This window comes from Homo sapiens, chromosome 14, assembly GCF_000001405.40.
Source record: "Homo sapiens chromosome 14, GRCh38.p14 Primary Assembly".
Classification (NCBI taxonomy): domain Eukaryota; kingdom Metazoa; phylum Chordata; class Mammalia; order Primates; family Hominidae; genus Homo; species Homo sapiens.
Window position 1 is genome coordinate 105,251,480 of NC_000014.9, and position 20,883 is coordinate 105,272,362.

A 20,883-nucleotide genomic window follows, 5' to 3' on the forward strand; every position below is an offset into this window, starting at 1 on the left:
CCCTTGTCTCTCTCCTCCCACTCTGCATACCCTGTAGGCAGTTGTTTTCTGGAAAACCTGTATGACCCCCGAAAAGAGGGATGGCCCCTCTTGGCACCTGGGAGAGGGCATGGGCCGAGTGTATAGCCTCAGCCGGTGCCCCTCTGCTGCTGCAGCCCGTGTTGCTCAGTCCTGTTGGTGACCCAGCCCCACCTGGTGCTTCTCTACCCAAAGGACATACGCTCCTAGATGCAAACAGGCAAAGTAAGAAAGGGGCCTCTAAGCGGGCCATGGAAACCAGTCATCTGCTTGGTAAAGAAAGGGTAGGTCAGAACCATCGGGCAGTGAGTGCTGTTTTGATCCTTTCCTTCTAGACTTTTCCGCTAGGTTAGATTCTGCATGCATGAACACTGCTGCTGCCTCGAGGGAGAGACAGGACTTACCCTACACCTAACACACATCAAGAAAGGCATACAGGAGTTCCACAAACTCGCACACAACACAGAACAAAAGTGGCAGAAAAACCACAAAAGAGGGCTGTGGCTGGAAAGCACAACCAGGAGCTGCCCCACTGTCCCCATCTGTCCAGAGGCACCTGGAGCCAGGTGTGTCCCTTAAACCTTGTCCACACAAGATGCTCCCAGCACGCAGCACTTGTTTCCCTGTCTACACCTTCCTGCCACCTGACAGGCACTGACAACAGGCCTTCTGGTTTTGCAGCAGAAAGCAAGCCCCAGGCCAGGTGCGGTCTCATGCCTGTAATCCCAGTGCTTTGGGAGGCGAAGGCACGAGGATCACTTGAGGCCAGGAGTTTGAGGCTGCAGTGAGCTACGATTGTGCCACTGCACTCCAGCCTGGACAACAGCGAGACTGTGTCTTAGAAAATAAGGCCCCACATTACTGAGCTCCTAGCAGCTTTAAGAAACATTTCTTACCTTGAGGGGTCCCATGCTTGGACAGGATTTCCCTCCACTGTTCAAAGGACATTTGGCACGCTGGTCCCTACAGCAGCCTGCCGGACACCCCAGCATCTCACCCAGATGCCTACCTATGGCCGGCGCATTGATGCAGAGCTCTCTTGCCAAGAGAAGAAACGTCTTTCCAAGCACGTACACATTCACCTGAGATGGAGAGATCACAACCAGAAACAGCATTGGTATTTAAGGAAATGTTTGCTTTTTTTCTCTTAAAATGCATCTCTTGTGCAGTCTTTAAAGACTCCGATGGCCCGTGGAGCAGCCACCCCACACCCGCAAGCCTGGCTGGCCTCCCTTGGCTGCTGGGGCTCCCAGGGCCCTGCCTTCTTCCTCTAAGCCGCTGCTTTAGGCCGTGCTGCCGTCTCGCCAATGATGGCATCTGCTTAGAAGAAAACCTGACTGCAAGGTTCCTCCCAGGGCGTCATCACACGGTGCACGCAGCATTTCATTCACAACTGCACACCCATGAACACAAAACCAGTTCTGTCCACATGTGCTCCCACCAGCCACACCTCCAGCCCAGATTCCGATGGGCCCAGGGGTCTTGGCCTCAGCCCCCTTGCTGGGACTGAGATCTGTGTTCCTCAGTGACTCCCCTGCCCCCCACACTGTTCCTACCTTAGGTCCAAATCCACACAGATCCTGTCACCCCTGCCTCGGCTATCTGCCATAGGGCAGTGGAGGTGAGGCCCAGACCGAGAAGGGCAACGCCGAGGGCTGGCAGTGATGGGAGCACCGCTGCTTGTCCTCAGCAAAACAAGGACTCTAGCCTGTGTGCAGACCCTGTGCACAGCCCTGCCGTGGGCCGAGTACCCCTAAGGAGCCCTGCTGGCTGGGGGAGGACACTTCAGAGCAATGTCTGCTGGCAGGTGTGGATGAGGTGCACAGCGGGAATAGCCTGGTCCCTACTGGAGCCTGCAAGAGCCCTGCCCACACTTGGCTGTCTTCATCCCAGGCTTGCCCCTGGGGCCCCCGGGCCTCACAGGCTTGGCCAGTCTGACCCTCTGCCACTAGCCTCCCCCAAAGAATTCCCTCGCCTGACCAAGCCCGGCTCGTGGGCCCTTAGACAAGTCCCCTTGTCCTGGCCCGCCAGTGGCACTTCCAGGTGCTTGCTGACTCCAGGGTACTGGGAGACCTAAGGGACCGCACACAAAGGGTCCTGTCTGCGCTAGAGGCAAGAGACAGAGGCAAGAGCCAGAGGCAGCGCTTGTGGGGGATGCCTCTGATCAGGGACCCTGCCCGCTGGGAGGGCTGGGCCCCCACAGCAGCTCCTCCTGGTCACCATCCACCCCAGTGGGGCGCAGCTTCCATCTTCTCCATTATATCCGAGGGCTCCATCACAAGGGCTGGTGGCTCACAGAGTGTGCCTTCTGAAGGAATTTCCCCTCCTCACAGTTTCTGGGGGTTCCAGGGATCCCTGGGGTCTGCTCACCAAACTGGGGGGCGTGTCAGCACATGTAGTGTGTGTGTGCATCCGCATGCAGTGTGCAGACATGCATGTGTGTACACACGCATACAGTGTGTCTAGGTGTGACTCACGCATGTCATGTATGAGTGCCCCAGCCCCTGTGCTGGGTTCCTGCCAGGCCCCTGCATCTTGATCGTCCTGATCCCACCATCTCTCTTTAAGCCACAGCAGAACCATGATCTGCTGCTGGCCTCTGCCTGCCCACCTCAAACTCCACACCCCCCAACCTTGTGTCCCAGAGACACAGGGATCAATGAGACCTGAACACTGCAAGTGAGGAATCTCCAAAGGGCCTTTACATGGAAACTCACGTTTAAAAAGCCATGTGTGCAAAACGCGTGCAGTTTTTTTGTTTTAGTTTGTTTGTTTTTGAGACGGAGTCTTGCTCTGTCGCCCAGGCTGGAGTGCAGTGGTGCAATCTCTGCTCACTGCAAGCTCTGCCTCCCGGGTTCACGTCATTCTCCTGCCTCAGCCTCCTGAGTAGTCAGGACTACAGGCGCCCACCACCACGCCCAGCTAATTTTTTTGTGTTTTTAGTAGAGATGGAGTTTCACCGCGTTAGACAGGATGGTCTCGATCTCCAGACCTCCTGATCTGCCCGCCTCGGCCTCCCAAAGTGCTGGGATTACAGGAGTGAGCCACCGCACCTGGCCGCAGTTTTTTGTTTGTTTTCTTGAGACAGAGTTTCACTCTTGTTGCCCAGGCTGGAGTGCAATGGCGCAATCGTGACTCACTGCAACCTCCACCTCAAGGGTTCAAGCGATTCTCCTGTCTCACCCTCCTAAGTAGCTGGGATTATAGGCATCCGCCACAACGCTCAGCTAATTTTTGTATTTTTAGTAGAGACGGGGTTTCACCATGTTGGCCAGGCTGGTCTTGAACTCCTGACCTCAGGTGATCTGCCTGCCTCAGCCTCCCAAAGTGCGGGGATTACAGGTGTGAGCCACCGCGCCCGGCCTAAATACATGCAGTTCTTTACAGAGTTGCTACCATGTATGAGGACCATTTATTGGAAATTCTCTTGCTAACAGTCTAACTGTGGCTGCTCCTTGAGGGCAGGTCAGGGTGGGGCACAGCCAGCTGCCCCCCCCATCTCTCTTCCTGGGCAGCAGGTGGATTCTGCCTGCAGACTGCCCTCGTGGGTGTCTGATGAGCTGTGTGCCCAGGCCAGTGAACAACCTGGGTCTGCCCTAAGGCAGGGATCAAGAGGGAGACTCCATGAGCTCGCCATGGGACCATCTGAGTCCCCAGGAGCCTGACCACTTCCGGAGCAGCTGCCCTGGCCCTGGCCCTCATACTCATCTTCCCTGGGAAGTCGTGGGGTTGGAACCAGGGTCATGTGGTTTTGCCCTGCACTGAGCAGAGAGCATCTGAAATGTGGACTTGCTGGATTATCACAATTCCAGCAGACTATTTTTAGCTTGACCACAAAATGTTTCAGCAGTAGCTTCTGAGTTGCCATTTATAAAGACAGCTGGGAGGACAAGGACCCCAGATGCCACCTGACACGGGCAGAAGCCTAACTGTGGGCTGCTGCCAAAGGCGGAAAGCCCTTGAGGACCAGAGGTGGCAGCACAGCCTGTGGGTGCCCAGAACCCCTGTGGGCACCTGGATCTGGACAGAGCTCCCTTTGAGGAGTGAAATCTACATGAATTCTGCACTGTGGTCACAACTGTTTTCAATATTTCTGAGTCCTCAGCAGCATGGTCACCAAGGACCTGTGGTGCAGCCCCCAGCACCGTCCCTGCAGAGCCTCGGTGCCCCCACCCTGTATCCTGTCTGCACAGGGGTCCCTGGGGTTGGTCTTTCCACTCTGTCACTTTGTTCAGTCATGTGGAAAGAGAGATGTAACTGAAAGTGCTTTCTGTGGTACCCAGAAAGTGAGTGTCTCCAAACAGACTGTAATATAAGATTTTTCTACAATTTAAAATGCATGCAAGAGGCCAGGTATGGTTGTTCATGCCTGTGACCCCAGTACTTAGGGAGGCCTTGGTGGGAGGGTTGCTTGAGCTCAGGAGTTCAAGAGCAGCCTGGGCAACATAGCAAGACCCCGTCTCTACTAAAAATACAAAATAGCCGAGCATGGTGGTGGGCACCTGTGGTCCCAGCTACTTGGGAGGCTGAGGTGGGAGGATTGCTTGAGCCCAGGAGGCAGAGGTTGCAGTAAGCTGAGATCACGCCACTGCACTCCAGCCTGGGTGACAGAGCGAGACTCCATCTCATAAATAAATAAATAAATAAAATGCAAGGTCAAAAGAAATAATCTCCTATACCAAACTAGGTACTCACAAAAAAATTTTTTAATTGAAAATAATCTCCTTTGTGTAGGACAAAAGTTCACTGTTCACCCAGGCCTAGCTAACACCCAACCGTGCCCAGCATTGGCAGGTGCCCTCCTGCCATGGAGACCCACACTCCCACAAGTCTCGGACTGTGACCCCCATGTCATGAAGGCCCCTCATCCTACAGACCAAAACTTCCTGACTGGGCAGGCAGCACAGACCGGCCACTGAGATGCGTGGAGGCACCTGGGGTACACCCCGGTCACAACCCTGGTCACAACCCCCAGGTCACAACCCCAGGTGGGGAAAGATGCAGGACGGAGGCTGTCTACCTGGAGCAGGTCGCTGAGGTCCAGGAGCATGTCTGCAGCAGGAGTCAAGGATCCTGTCGAGTGGCTGCAAGCTCAGGTTACTCGCCCACCTTCAAATGGGCAGGACCGCAGGACTGCACCTGCAGGGAGCTGGAGTCGCCCCTCCAAATATAAGCTCCACCTTTGATCAGGAAGGAAAGGTGGTATGGAAGCGAGGCGCGGCACGCTCAGGCCTCACCAGAACCTCCCAGCCCCAGGCACAAGTGAGACTTCTGTGAACCCAGTACCAGGACAAGGGACTGCAAGGAACCTGGAGCCGGGTCGGGGGAACCAGAAACGGTGGGGGCTTCCATCTGATCCTGGAGAAAGCGTGCACCCCCACACACCCGCCTGCCCAGTCAGGTGCCCACCATATGGTGGATCTGCTGCCCACACACAGCACAGAAGAGACAGTGGCACTCATGCTCCATCCCAAGGGCACTTGCTGAGCACCTATCAGGCGTCAGGCAGGCAGTCCTCCCGAGAGACAGAAAACTAGACCTGGGGCCCCCTTGGTGAGTGGTGAGCCTGCAGGCGCCACTGGGGGCTGCGCTCGAGAGACAGGTGTGGGGACCCCGCACAGGACCTGTCTTCGCTCAGATGAACAAACAGGACCAAGAATGTGTCCTAAGTGATTCAAAACTCACATGGATACATAAGTTATCAAACACAAGTCACTGGTTAATACACTCTGCCAGACAGCTGAAGTGCACATCTCCCATGGGCCCACTGTAGCTTCGAGAAGTCACTAAGGACACCTCCTGGAGCTGGATCAGGAGTCCAGAGCAGGGGTCCAAAGGAAGATCCCCGGGACCAGAGCAGCAAAGCCCCACCACGCAAGAACCTCGCAAGCAATCAGATGGTTAGGACGCCAGCCCACTCATCCACGCCCTGGGCTGGAGGCCCCTGACCTCTCTTGCAACTCCATGCAGAACAGCAAGGCCTCCCACCCTAAGAAGGTGCCAGGGCTGGGTACAGGGGCATTCCGACACAGAGCAGAACCCCCAGGACGGCTGGGACGTGAGCGGTGAGGCCCGTGAACAAAGGTGCATCTGAAGGCAGGCAGTCCCAGAGGGCCGAGACAACGGGCAGGACCGACTGCAGCACAGCCAACAGCCTCACAAGAGGCACTATGAGAAGACCGGCGGCAGGGGTGGGGCCAGTGACATCAAAGGAAACCAAAGGAAAGCAGTAAGAACTACCTGGGGAAACGCCCGTGACAGCCAACACACACCAACGGGAAAAGTGAACGAGGCCAGAAGGCTACACCCTGTGTGACTCCAAGCATACACCTTCCGGAAAAGGCAAAACTATGGAGACAGCATTAGGTCAGTGGCCACCAAGGGCTGGGGAAAGGCAGGGTGGGTGGGCCGAGAGGAGGGTTCCAGGACGCTGCAGCTCTGCACCACTCCGCACTGGTGGGTTCACATATTGCATATTTGTGAAAACCCATAGAAGGCACAGCCCCAAGAGTGAACCTCAATGTGAACTGTGGACTTTTCTTATCAACAACTTGGCAAGACGGGCTCATCAACCATAACAAATGGACCAGCTAACACAAGATGTTAATAACATAGGGAAATTGGGGATTGAAGGGGGTGTATGGGAACTCTGTACTTTCTACACAATTTTTCTGTAAACTAAGACTGCTCTAAGAAATAAACTCTACTGGGCTGGACGCGGTGACTCACGCCTGTAATCCCAGCACTTCGGGAGGCCGAGGTGGGTGGATCACAAGGTCAGGAGATCGAGACCATCCTGGCTAACATGGTGAAACCCCGTCTCTACTAAAAATACAAAAAAATTAGCCGGGCGTGTTGGCGGGCACCTGTAGTCCCAGCTACTTGGGAGGCTGAGGCAGGAGAATGGCGTGAACCCAGAAGGCGGAGCTTGCAGTGAGCCGAGATGGCGCCACCGCACTCCAGCCTGGGCGACAGAGCGAGACTCCGTCTCAAAAAAAAAAAAAGAAATGAACTCTAAGGCCAGGCGCAGTGGCTCACGCCTGTAATCCCAACACTTTGGGAGGCCGAGGTGGGAGGATCACCTGAGGTCAGGAGTTTGAGACCAGCCTGGCCAACATGGTGAAACCCCGTCTCTACTAAAAATACAAAAATTACCCAGGGGGTGGTGGCGGGCACCTGTAATCCCAGCTACTTGGGAGGCTGAGGTGGGAGAATTGCTTGAACCCAGGAAGCAGAAGTTGCAGTAAGCAAATATCGCACCACTGCACTCCAGCCTGGGCAACAGAGCGAGACTCAGTCTCAAAAAAAAGAACTCTATTTAAATAAGAAAAAGAATAAAGGCCAAAATAAAAAAAGGCAAAACAATTCAACAGAAGCTTCATGAAGACAAAAAAAAATAGCCAACAAGCACATGAAAAAGAACTCAACTGCATTAATCATCAGAAATGCAAACAAAACTGTGACAATGCCACGAGCCCGCGACGTCACTGAATGCCGGCGAGGATGTGGGGCAAGCACAGCTCACCCATGCTGCTGATGGAAGCGTGAAGTGGTACAACCACCTTGGGAAAAGGCCTGGAAGTTTCTTACAAAGCTAAACACACACCTCTGACCCACCTATTCCACTCCTAGGTATTTACCCAAGAGAAATAAAAACAGATGTCAGCCAGGTGCAGTGGCTCACACCCATAATCCCAGCACTTTAGGAGGCTGAGGCCAGCAGATCACCAGAGCCCAGGAGTTCAAGACCGGCCTGGGCAACACAGTGAGACCCTGTTTCTACAAAAAAATCCAAAAATTAGCCGGGTATGGTGACAAACACTTATTGTCCCAGCTACTCAGAAGGCTAAGGCAGGAGGATTGCTTGCACCCAAGAGGTCGAGGTTGCAGTGAGCTGTGATTGCACCACTGCACTGAGCTGGGGCCACAGAGTGAGACTCTGTCTCTAAAAATAAAAAGAAATATGTCCACAAAAAAACTTGTAGAAAAATGTTCATAGCAGCTTCATTCAGAACAGCCAAAAACGGGGAGCAGTCCAGGTGTCCATTAATACAAGAATACTCTGGCTGGTATTCACACAGCAATACCACTCACCATACAAAACACCATGGGCGCCTCTCAAAACCATGTCCACCGGACACGGGGCTCACGCCTGTAATCCCAGCACCTTGGGAGGCCAAGGCGGGCAGTCACTTGAGGCCAGGAGTTTGAGACCAGCCTGGCCTACACAGCAAAACCCTGTCTCTACTAAAAATACAAAAGATGAGCTGGACATGGTGGCGTGCCCCTGTAGTCCCAACTACTTGAGAGGCTAAGGCATTAGAATCGCTTGAACCCAGGAGACAGAGGTTGCAGTAAGCTGAGATGGAACCATACTGCACTCAGCCTGGGCGACAGAGCTACATTCTGTCACCAAAAAAAAAAGCATGTGAAGTGACAGGGCACAGATCATATGATTCCATTTATAGGGCATTCTAGAACAGGCACAACTGGTCTGTAGTGGAAGGAAATGGAAACAGCGGTTGCCTTTTGCGGGGCTGGGACTGTTGGAAGGGGCATGAGGTCTGTCCACAGAGCCCTGCTCTGGGCTGACGGGTGACCGTTTGTCAGAACTCTCCAGATGGAGCAATTAGGGCCTGTGCATCTCACTTTAAGCCAACTTTACCTTCAGAGGAGAAAAAGACCCAGGAACGATGCTCACCCCCATTGAGCTGATGGTCTGCCTGCTGAAGGACTGTGTGCAGTACACAGACGTCTGCAACTTGCCTTGAAATGTGCCAAAAAATAAGATGGTGAGGGCAGCATAGCTTTGGGGAGCGGACCACAGGTGTGAGCGAGGGGACTCCACAATTCACTTCAACTTTGCAGGTGTTCGAATTTTTTTTTTTTCCCGAGATGAAGTCTTGCCCTGTCGCCCAGGCTGGAGTGCAATGGTACAATCTTGGATCACTACAACCTCTGCCTACCAGGTTCAAGCGATTCTCCTGCCTCAGCCTCCCAAGTAGCTTGGACTACAGGCATGCACCACCATGCCTGGCTAATTTTTTTTTGTATTTTTAGTAGAGATGGGGTTTCACCATGTTGGCCGAGCTGGTCTCAAACTCCTGACCTCAGGTGATCTGCTCACCTCAGCCTCCCAAAGTGCTGGGATTACAGACATAAGCCACCAAGCTCCACAGAAAATTTTCTTAATAAAACAATGGGATAAGTGTGTACATTTTTAAAAGGAGCTTCAAATTAAACATTTAACGAAGTTAGAATTACTGCTTTCCTTGAAATGAAAATCACCTGGCACTTGATCCGCATTCACCTGGCTCTATCAGGCGCTTTCAGGGAAGTTTCCAGACGATGGAAGCTCAATTATGTGCTTCCCTTGTGAGGATATCACATTCCCTCTGGCCAATCCCGGGAGGGCCTACTAATGCCTTTGGGGCCCAGCCTACAGGTCCCCCAGCTAATGAGCTCCCAGGGCTCTGGAGGTTCTCCTGTGTCCAGCATGGCTGGTACCTGTGTCCTCCCAGCAGCCCCTCCCTTTTGCTGAGCAGCTGCTTCTGACCATCTGGGAATCAGAAAAAAGTCTGCAGAGAAGAGGCCCTGTCTGCGGCCCCCAGGGTGCGAAAGCCTGGATTCTGCCAGCTGGGGCCTCTTTCTGCCTCCCTTCTGGCCCCTGCCACGCTGTGCCGGGTGGTCTTCTGCTCGGTGCAGCTGAGTGCCAGTCAAAGGAGAGACGCGGGAGCACAATAGAGGGCAGGTGACACAATGCCCTCAAAGGGCGCCAGACATTCCTGAGTGCGGCAGAGGCCCACGCGAGGCTCCCATCAGCAGATGACAAGGCCCAGAAATGGTCCAGTCATGACGGTGCAGCCCTGCACCCCACTGCTGTGCCATCAAACTGTCCCGGCTCCAGGAACCAACCAGGCTTCCCCACCACAGCTGTGGACAACACAGCGAGGGGCCACTCCACTGTGAAGAGGATGGGGAAACTGAGGCTGCCCACACCCTGGCTGGCTGCACGATGCTTGCAGGGAGAAAAACTGCAGATGGGTCCTGACTCAGACACACTTTCCTTACATGGAAAAGTTTACAGAGATTTACATAAGGCAGAACTAAAACTTAAAAAAACAAGAAATTTCTCTCAACAGCCTCACATACAAATGCTCTTACTGGATACCCAAAGAGAGAAGCGAGGGAAAGTGCTCTTGTATATAGAGCCCCACAGAAAGGGCTGTGTCCACAACAGCCAGCAGTGCAGGGGCCGGCAGGGCCCCACCCTGAGCGGACACCAGCATTCCCGGCCCCATGGGACTGGAGAGGGGGACTGCGGCGCCCACACGGCGTGAGGACCAAGGAGCGAAACCCACACCTTCTGGAGAATGATGCCCAGCACTGCACCGGCCCACGGCTCACTGCCCCTACCCAGTGCCACTCCCCTTCTGCAGGCCCCCCCTGCTCTGAGTGCTCCTCACCGGCAGCCAACACCACCTGGCACGGGAACACACGGCCCGGCCGAAGCTCCGTGTAGAGCAGTAGTGCCCAGCCCCAACCCACCAAGGGCAAGGCCCTGGCAGCACTCAGCATACAGCACTCAGCGGCCGACCAAGCACCCACACAGGAGCCCGGCAGGCAGACTGGGCATCCTCAGGCCCCGCACATGCCTGGACGGGGCTATGACGGATCCTAGCTTGGAATGGGGTCACTCACCCCAGAGCTCGGATGCCCTCAGCACCCCAAGAGCAGGACCCATCAAGACCCAGGGCCTAGGTCATGAGCAGCCCTGCCCTCCCGAACTTCCCAGAGACCACCCTGCTCCTCCGCCTGGAGGTGTGGCACAGAGCAGGTGCTCTGGGAGTCCCTGAATGACTGATGCGGGGTAGGAGACCTGCTGGCTGCCCTTTGTCCAGATACCTCTGACCTCCAGGGAAGAGCCAGTGGGTCATTGCTGGGCCTTGCCCATCCCCTGCACAGTGACTAAATCCCTGAGCCACTGCTGGCTGCCACACCCCACGGTGGGCTCCTGTGTGCAGTACACCCTGAATAATCTAGCACCTCACCGCTGTCATCATGCATGGCCTCTGTGAAGTTCAAGGGTACCCAGGTGCCTTCTCAAAGATCCCTGCTCTGAAGACTGAGCCTCCCACAGAGCTGGGAGCCTGGCTCTGTCCCAGCCACACTGAGGTGGTCTCACGGATAATGCAGCTGCTATCCAGGCAGTCACCTGACGCTCCCAGCCCCTGGCTTTCAAGCACACACATGCAACCAGGCACATGGATGGCCCCAGGAGGAGCTGAGTGGCACGAGTGTAAGGTGCAGTGTCTCAGCTCGGGCCTCCTTCCAATTCTCGCCAATTCTAATAAGCTGTCATAGTCTGGCAGTGCCAGGCCAGGATTGCCTGAGGACAGGAGTTCAAGACCAGCCTGGACAACATAGCAAGACCCCATCTCCATTTAAAAAAAAAAAAAGTGGCTGGACACGGTGGCTCACGCCTGTAATCCCAACACTTTGGGAGGCCGAGGCGGGCAGATGACAACGTCAAGAGTCCGAGACCAGCCTGGCCAATATGGTGAAACCCTATCTCTACTAAAAATACAAGTTAGCCAGGCATGGTGGTGGGCACCTATAATCCCAGCTACTCGGGAGGCTGAGGCAGGAGAATCGCTTGAACCCGGGAGGCAGAGGTTGCAGTGAGCCGAGATGGCACCACTGCACTCCAGCCTGGGCAACAGAGTAAGACTCCATCAAAAAAAAAAAAAAAAAAAAAGTAGGAGCCTAGTGCTCACAGTCTCGCTTGGCAAGGGAAGATAGAGTTTACAGTTCAGTGGCTTCCGAGCCAGCCAGACACGAGGGGCCAAGCTGCCAAGAGAAGAGGAAGCAACTTCAACAAGCGAGCAGGGCACAGTGCACTTAGTCCCTTTACGGCAGCTGCCGCCCCTGGAGCCACAGGCACCAGGCTGAGGCCCGCCAAGCCCAGAAGTCAGCTCTGAAAGGCAAAAGAGCCGAGCAGGAAGTTCTGCAGTCCCGAGGTGCCAGGAAGGGACACCTGGGTCCTGCCACGATCCTTCAGCCGGGAACCAAGACGGACCAGCAGCAACTGGATCAGAGTGAGCTACCTGCGTGCTCTCTGCTTGCTCAAGAAAAGTTAAATTCCCGGCCGGGCGCGATGGCTCACGCCTGTAATCCCAACACTTTGGAAGGGTGAGATGGGCGGACCACGAGGTCAGGAGATCGAGACCATCCTGGCTAACACGGCGAAACCCTGTCTCTACTAAAAATACAAAAAATCAGCCGGATGTGGTGGCGGGCACCTATAGTCCCAGCTACTTGGGAGACTGAGGCAGGAGAATGGCATGAACCTGGGAGGCGGAGCTTGCAGTGAGCAGAGATGGTGCCACTGCATTCCAGCCTGGGCAACAGAGTGAGACTCTGTCTCAAAAAAAAAAAAAAAGAAAAGTTAAATTCCCTCTGGATGGAAAAGTATCCATCATCTCTGTAATATTTTAGACCTAATATTCCAGCGATTCAATGAAAAATTACCAAGCATGACAAAAGACAAGACCAAAGGAACAAAAACAAAAAGAAAATCAAGATAATAAAAACAGAACCACAAATGATTCAACTATTTGGCTTATCAATGACTTTCACCTAACTATGAAGAAATGAAGAATCTTACCAAAGAACTGGACTCTAATAAAAGGAGTCTTAGTGATGGCTCACATCTATAATCCTAGCACGTTGGGAGGCCAAGGCAGGAGAATAGCTTCTGCCCAGGAGTTCAAGACCAGGCTGGGCAACATAGCAAGACACCATTCTCTACAAAAAATAAAGAGCCCAGGAGTTCAAGACCAGCCTGGGCAACACAGTGAGACCTCATCTCTATAAAAAATTGATGGCCAGGCGCGATTGCTCACACCTATAATCCCAGCACTTTGGGAGGCCGAGGTGGGCGGATCACGAGGTCAGGATATCGGGACCATCCTGGCTAACACAGTGAAACACCGTCTCTACTAAAAATACAAAAAAAAATTAGCCGGGCATGGTGGCGGGTGCCTGTAGTCCCAGCTACTCGGGAAGCTGAGGCAGGAGAATGGCATGAACCCGGGAGGCAGAGCATGCAGTGAGCCGAGATTGTGCCACTGAACTCCAGCCTGGGTGACAGAATGAGACTCCATCTCAAAAAAAAAAAAAAAAAAAAAAAAATTGAGTGGGTGTGGTGGCGCATACCTGTAGTCCCAACTACTATGGAGGCTGAGGTGAGAGGATTGCTCGAGCCTGGGAGGTCAAGGCTGCAGTGAGCTGTGACTGCACCACTGCACTCCAGCCTGGGCAACACAGCGATATTCCATCTCTTAAAAAAAAAATTAAGAAGTTAGTAGATGGGTTCAACACCTGATTAGACACAGCAAAAGAAAGGATGAGCAAAAGAGAGAAAGGCTAATATATGGAGTCCCAGAACAGGAAGAGAGAGTGGAGCAGAAACTTTATTTGAAAAGATACTACCCAAGATGTCTCCAACGTAGACAAAAGACATCAAGTCATAAGTTCTACTTATCCTTTTTTTTGTTTTTTTTTTGTTTGTTTGTTTTTTTAGAGACAGGGTCTCACTCTGTCGCCCAGGCTGGAATGCACTGATGCACTGATGTCATCACAGCTCACTGCAGCCTTGACCCCTGGGCTTAAGTGATCCTCCTGCCTCAGCCTCCTGAGTAGCTGGGACTACAGGTGTGCACCACCACACCTGGCTAATTTCTTTTATTAGCCTAGGCTGGTCCTAAACTCCTGGCCTCAAGTGATCCACCCACCTCAGCCTCCCAAAGCGCTGGGATTACACCCATAAACTACCACACCCAGCCAAGTCACAAATCCTTGAACTTCTACAAAAAATAATCTGGATAAACACAAAGAAAACCACATCTAGGTACATCAGAGTCAAACTGCCAAATCCAAACACAAAAATATTTCTTAAAAGCAGGTAGTGGGCCGGGTGCAGTGGTTCACGCCTGTAATCCCAGCACTTTGGGAGGCTAAGGTGGGCAGATCACCTGATGTCAGGAGTTTGAGACCAGCCTGGCCAACATGGTGAAACCCCTCTCTACTAAAAATACAAAAATTAGCTGGGCATGGGCCAGGCATAGTGGCTCACACCTGTAATCCCAGCAGTATTGGGAGGCCGAGGCGGATGGATCACGAGGTCAGGAGATTGAGACCATCCTGGCTAACACAGTGAAACCCCTTCTCTACTAAAAATTCAAAAACAAAATTAGCCAGGTGTGGTGGCGGGCACCTGTATTCCCAGCTACTCGGGAAGCTGAGGCGGGAGAATGGTGTGAACCCGCGAGGCAGAGCTTGTAGTGAGCTGAGATCATGCCACTGCACTCCAGCCTGGGCGACAGAGCAAGACTCCCTCTCAAAAAAAAAAAAAAAAAAAAATTAGGTGGGCATGGTGGCATGCACCTGTAATCCCAGCTACTCGGGAGGCTGAGGCAGGAGAATCACTTGAACCCAGAGGGCAGAGGTTGCAGTGAGCCGAGATGGCACCACTGCACTCCAGCCTGGGTGAGGCAGTGAGACTCTGTCTCAAAAAAAAACAAAACAAACAAAAAACCGTGTGATGTAACGAAACTCACCTAGAGAGAAATTTATAGCCTCGAGTGCTTATGTTAGAAAAAACAGGCCAGATACAATAGCTCACACCTGTAATCCCAACACTTTGGGAGTCCAAGATGAGAAGATAACTGGAACCCAGGAGTTTGAGGCCAGCCTGGGCAATACAGTGAGACCCCATCTCTAGTGCACCTATGGTCCCGGCTACTCGGGATGCTGAGGCGAGAGAGTCGCCTGAGCCAGGGAGTTGGAGGTTGCAACGAGCTAGGGTGGTGCCACAGTGGTACAGCCTGGGAGAACAGAGCAAGACCCTGTTTCTAAAAAATTTTAAAAAATTAATCAGTGTTATTTACGTTAGGTAACAGATTAAGGGGAAAATGTACATGAAAAAATCATACCAATAAATACATTGGTGTTTGATAAAATTCAGTATTTTTCATGACAAAAACTCTTGGAAAATTAGAAAGCAAGGTAACATCCTCAAGCTGATAAAGAGTCCTATACACAAAAGTCTACCGCAGATACATAGAGCGAAGGGCAGAAAACACCCCTCCCAGGACAGGAGAGAGCCAGGCACATCTCCCTCCCCAGGACCATGCTGAGTCCTCGGCATACAAAAGGCAGGACAAACAGATGAGAGGTGTGTGGGTTAGAAAGGAAGAACCAAGGCTGGGCGGGGGGTTCACACCTAGAATCCCAGCACTTTGGGAGACTGAGGGAGGCAGATCACTTGAGCTCAGAAGTTTGAGACCAGCTTGGACAATACAGCAAAACCCCGTCGCCACAAAAAGTACAAAAATTAGCCAGGGGTGGTGGTGTATGCCTGTAGTCCAGCTACACGGGAGGCTGAGGTGGGAGGATCGCTTGAGCCTGGGAGGCAGAAGCTGCAGTGAGCCAAGACTGCGCCACTGCACTCCAGCCTGGGTGATCAAGTGAGATCCTGTCTCATGAAAAAAATGAAAAGAAAGAAGCAGAACTGGCATTATGAGCAGCAGACACAGTTGTGTGCATTAAAGGAGAGACTCCAAAACTCAAACAGTAAGATCGACAATTGAATTTGGTAGGAATGATGTATTAATAATGTCAACATACAAAACTCAGCTAAACCTCTGCTACGCCAGCAACAAGACACCACCGACAAGGGGCCCACATGGGCCCACGCTGGGTGTGCCGGTGTTTCCAGGTCAGCCTTTCGGAAGTCTGAAATGGCAACTTTTTTTTTTTTTTGAGACGGGGCTCACTCTATTGCCTAGGCTGGAGTGTAGTGGTGCGATCATGGCTCACTGCAGCCTCGACCTCCTGGGTTCAAGCGATCCTCCCACCTCAGCCTCCCCAGTAGGTGAGACCACAGGTACACACCACCAGCTGGATTTTTTTTTTTGTTTTCTTTTTCTTTTGTAGAGACGGGGTTTCACCATGTTGCCCAAGCTGGTCTCAAACTCCTGGACTCAAGCAATCCTCCTGCCTGGGCCTCCCAAAGTGATGGGATTTACAGGCGTGAGCCACTGTGCCTGACCTGAAATGCCAACGTCTTCATGCCTAATGATGTGTGCACCATTTGATTCCCTCATCAGCCATCCTAATACCTTCTTCTGACCACTTAAACTGTTATAAATGCCCTGTCCTTGAGAAGGCAGCAGAGGGAGAGGAGCAGGAACAAGGGGGCCTGGTGGCAGAAGGAGGTGCTGGCCAGAACAGGGGGGCAGAGAAGTGTGGGCTCTGAAAGCCCATCCCAGACCCCAGAATGGAATAAGCTGAATGCACATGGCCCCTGCTGACCTGAACGGACGGTTCTGCAGCCTGAGAGAGGAGCTGGGTCTGAAGGGAGTGTGGCGGCTGGCGGCAGAGGCCTTGCTCCCACGCGTGGCCAGGCACGCCATGGAGGCTGAGGCTGGCAGGCCATGGAAGCTGGGCATGCTCTTTGCAGACCTACGTGGGGACAGGTGATGGCACCATCCACAGTGCTGGCCCCAGGGCTCTGACGCCCTCTAGGGCTCACCAGCCTGTCACCATCCCAAGATGCCCTCTCACATGCAGGCCTAGGGCAGCCTGGCTGGACAGGAACAAATGTCAAAGACCCACAAACCAGCTGTGGGCAAAAGCTGCAATAACAAGTCGAGACACACAGCCAGGAAAAGCACACTGGCCACAAACTACCTGCTCGACAATGGCAGAGGTGCTCATTCCAGCTGAGTCTCTGCCCGGCATGTCCAGGTCCCGTGTCTCAGCCCTGCTGCCCACGCAGCCTCCCTGGGCTGGGAGCCAGGAGCAGACTCAGGCCTAGGGTCAGCCGGGCCTTGCCAGACTCAGTGGGACTCAGCAGCACCCCGTTCCTCCTCCAGGAATCCGGGACTGGCTGTGTCAGCCACCAGGCTACGGGGCCAAGAGAGGAGGTGTGTGTGCACAGCCCCCGGCACTTTCGGGGTGATAGTGGACACACCTGAGGATCGGGCAACAATGAAGGGTGGGCAGAAGGAGGAATAAGCTTGGATGTTCTTAAATCAAGCCCTTGTTCCTTCTGAGAGAGGATTTCTTGTATCCAGCCCTGGGCTCAGGGCACTGGTCCCACCCATGGGCTGGACGATACGATAGGAGGATCCTGGGGGGCCTCTCCTGGGGTGGGGGCCATGCACCCCACAACGTAAGCTCACTGCACAGGACCCTCCACGTCCTGCTGACGGCAGGGTGGAGGTGGGGTGGTGGGTGCTGTTGCGCCCTGGCTAAAGGTGGCGAGTCCAGAAGGTGACGGGAGCTGTGCAGGCAGCAGGGCTGGGCCAAGCAGCCCTGTCTCGGAGAAGAGAGCCTGGCTGCACACACCCTCTCCTGGGTGGATTTTCTGTGGAAGGGAAGTGGGTGGAGCTATTGAGGAAACTGAGGCAGCACATGAGCCCAGCCAGCCAGCTGGGGCTGCAGGAGGCGAGGACAGTGGCCAGAGCCAATGCAGGTCAGCAGGGAGGGAGAAGGCACAGGGGCAGGAGAAAACAAGGAGGGCGGTGAGAGACGGAGACGTGTCCAGGATGGGTCTGGGGGCTCTGGCTGGCAGGCCTAGGGCACGGTGCTGCCCGCAACCTGAAGGGAGGGCAGAGCGGGACATGCTACACCTGGCCTGACCCACTTCCCTCTAAAGTGCCGGCAAAGCAGGGGTGGGCTGGGAAGTGAGGGCTACAGCTACCCGAGACCAGCCCGAAGCATCCTCTGAGGATGCTGAAGGGAGCCCCACCAGGCCACCAGCAGCCAGAGGGGATAGAGTGCGGCCTCCCGTGAGCACAGTCCTGTTCCAAGCTGTCTTGTCCTTAGCAGCTTTATAAGGTACAAGTTTGTGCCACAAACCTGCCTGTTCACAGTGCACCGGGCAGTGGGTTTTCGTAAATCCCCAGAGCTGAGCAACCACCACCAGGATCTAATTTTAGAATGCGTGGGGGACACGGGGTGGCTTCCTGGATGCTGCCACTGTGAGCACTGTGCGTGAGCCTCGGTGGGGACACAGGTACTCTTTTCCCTTGGGCACACACTTAGTAGGAGGATCGCTGGAGCGTGTGGGAACTTTGTGGCTAAAGGTGGTCCTGCCAGACTCAGAGGCAGCCCCGGCAGTGCCACAGGACTGCTCTCCGTCCTGCCTGTCATCACCCCATGAAGGCCCATGTCCCAGGGCATCTGTCCCCCCCACAGGAGGCCCAGTGAGGCAGCAGCATGGACGTGGTTCCACCCCACCTTGCTGACGCTGGGGTCCCAGTGCCGGCCTGCACCCTAGGCCCTGCTCCACAGCAGTCCCCACACAGCTCCTACAAACACAAGGGAGGCAGGGCCATGGGCTGACCCTGGGCTCTGCTCAGCTTCTCGCTCAGGACCTTGGTCTGCTTCTAAGAGAGCAGGATCGGAGCAGGCCTCTCAGTGGGACCCCAGGGTGGAGCCGGGGCAAGCAGACAGCAGGCGGGGCGGGCAGGGACGCGGGCGTGGGCTCTGTCTCTCGCCCTGCAGTGGGCTGCCTGGGCACTCTGCATCATCCCTGTCCCTAAAGGCACACGTGTGCTTTAAACACTTTTACGCAGAAATGACAAATTTCAAAATGTTGAAAGGACTTTTTTTTTTTTTTTTTGAGACGGAGTCTCACTCTGTAGCCCAGGCTGGAGTGCAGTGGCGCGATCTCGGCTCACTGCAAGCTCCGCCTCCCGGGTTCCCGCCATTCTCCTGCCTCAGCCTCCCGAGTAGCTGGGACTACAGGAGCCTGCCACCACGCCCGGCTAATTTTTTTTGTATTTTTAGTACAGACGGGGTTTCATGGTGTTAGACAGGATGGTCTCGATCTCCTGACCTCGTGATCCGCCCACCTAGGCCTCCCAAAGTGCTGGGATTACAGGCGTGAGCCACCATGCCCAGCCCAAATTTCAAAATGTTAAAAGGACATTTTCAGGGTTGGATGCAGTGGCTCATGCCTATAATCCCAGCACTTTGGGAGGCCAGGGCGGGTGGATCACTTGAGGCCAGGAGTTTGAGACCAGCCTGGCCAACATGGGGAAACCCCATCTCTACTAAAAATACAAAAAAATTAGCCAGGTATGGTGGTGCACACCTGTAATCCCAGCTACTCGAGAGGCTAAGGCACAAGAATTGCTTGAACCTGGGAGGCAGAGGTTGCAGTAAGCTGAGATACTACCACTGCACTCCAGCCTGGGTGACAGAGCAAGACCCTGTCTGGAAAAAAAAAAAAAAAGTAACATTTTAATGAAAGATCCTGATACTGAGGGTTGCCTGGCCAGAGGCACCGTCAGCAGGCTACCAGCTCGTCATCTCCAGGAGCCCTCCCTGCACCCCACTCAAAAGAGAAGCAGGCCACCAGGATCACCTGGCACCCAGGACACCCCTCGAGGGGGACCAACCAGAAAAACAGACCAAGACAGAAAAGAGCTCAAGGTGAGAAGATGCCACACTCAGGAAGACGGGAGATTATAAAAAAGATTCGGAAAAGACCCAGAGCTCTTAGAGATGAAAAACATGAAAGAAATGAAACAGCCTGCTGGAAGCTAAAGTTCAGGTGCTGTCCCAAAGCAAAAAGATAGCCACGTGCAAAAAAGGATGAGATAACACATGGGTTCAGTGTGGCAGGCAGAGTAACAGAGAAGAAGGGAGACACATCTAACGACGAATTCAACAGAAGCTCAGGACAGGAAGCTGTCAGAGAGCAAAGGCCTGATGGGCTCACACTGCCGTGAGATTTCTGAACGTGGAGATTAGAGGCAAGGAGCTGAAGCCCCGCAGCTGCACAGCAAGGGCCAGGAGCCAGAGGGCCACAGAACTGCCCAGTGAGAATGCTGGAGGCAAGGCGACGGCAGGGGCGCAGGCTGGGAGGCAGACATGTGGCCGGGCACGCCACGCCCACCAGACACAGGGCAGGGAGGGGGACCACCTTCAGAGGGGCGCAGCTCGGAAAAGGTCCCTCTCCCAGGGAGCCATTGCAGGAGGCACCTCACAAGATGAGGAGGGTGTGGACCAGGAAGCGGGGAGTCCCCAGAGAGCAGGGAAAAGATGCAGGTGCACAGCAGGTGTGGACAGCACAGCACAGAGCAGAGGAGGCTGGAAGGCTCTGGGCTCCCTGTCAAGAGGCCGAAGGCAGCTCCTGACCCATGTGTGTGTCTGCAGATGGCAGCAGTGGGCACAGGACCAGATGCACAGAGACCAGTGCAAGAGAACACCAGACACTGGATCTCCACGCAAGGCCAAGCTGCACACCGCTGAGGGTCGGCAGCCTCCCCGCCCACCGCCTGCAGTCACGGTGTCCACGCACAAGGCCAAGCTGCACACCGCTGAGGGTCGGCGGCCTCCCCGCCCACCGCCTGCAGTCACGGTGTCCACGCACAAGGCCAAGCTGCACACCGCTGAGGGTCGGCGGCCTCCCCGCCCACCGCCTGCAGTCACGGTGTCCACGCACAAGGCCAAGCTGCACACCGCTGAGGGTCGGCGGCCTCCCCGCCCACCGCCTGCAGTCACGGTGTCCACGCACAAGGCCAAGCTGCACACCGCTGAGGGTCGGGGGCCTCCTCGCCCACCGCCTGCGGTCACGGTGTCCACACACAAGGCCAAGCTGCACACCGCTGAGGGTCGGCGGCCTCCCCACCCACGGCCTGCAGTCACGGTATCCACGCACAAGGCCGAGCTGCACACCGCTGAGGGTCGGCGGCCTCCCCACCCATCGCCCACAGTCACGGTGTCCACAGCTGCAGGCACTCGGTGTACGCCTGGCTGCAGCCCACTCAGCAACAGCACCCCACC

At 54.6% G+C, this 20,883-nt stretch overlaps 1 protein-coding gene across 12 annotated transcripts in view; it reads right to left on the reverse strand.

The window, feature by feature from the left end:
• Nucleotides 1–20,883, reverse strand: part of BRF1 (BRF1 general transcription factor IIIB subunit) — a 106,304-nt gene that overhangs the window by 42,194 nt on the left and 43,227 nt on the right. For 10 of the 12 annotated variants that reach the window (XM_047431305.1, NM_001440451.1, NM_001242787.2 and 7 more), the window contains 2 exons: nt 5,039–5,070; nt 1,028–1,100 (listed from right to left, as the gene is read on the reverse strand). In XM_047431305.1, the coding sequence (XP_047287261.1) occupies nt 1,028–1,100; nt 5,039–5,070 (105 nt within the window). The other 2 variants (XM_047431303.1, NM_001242790.2) reach the window with 2 other exon arrangements.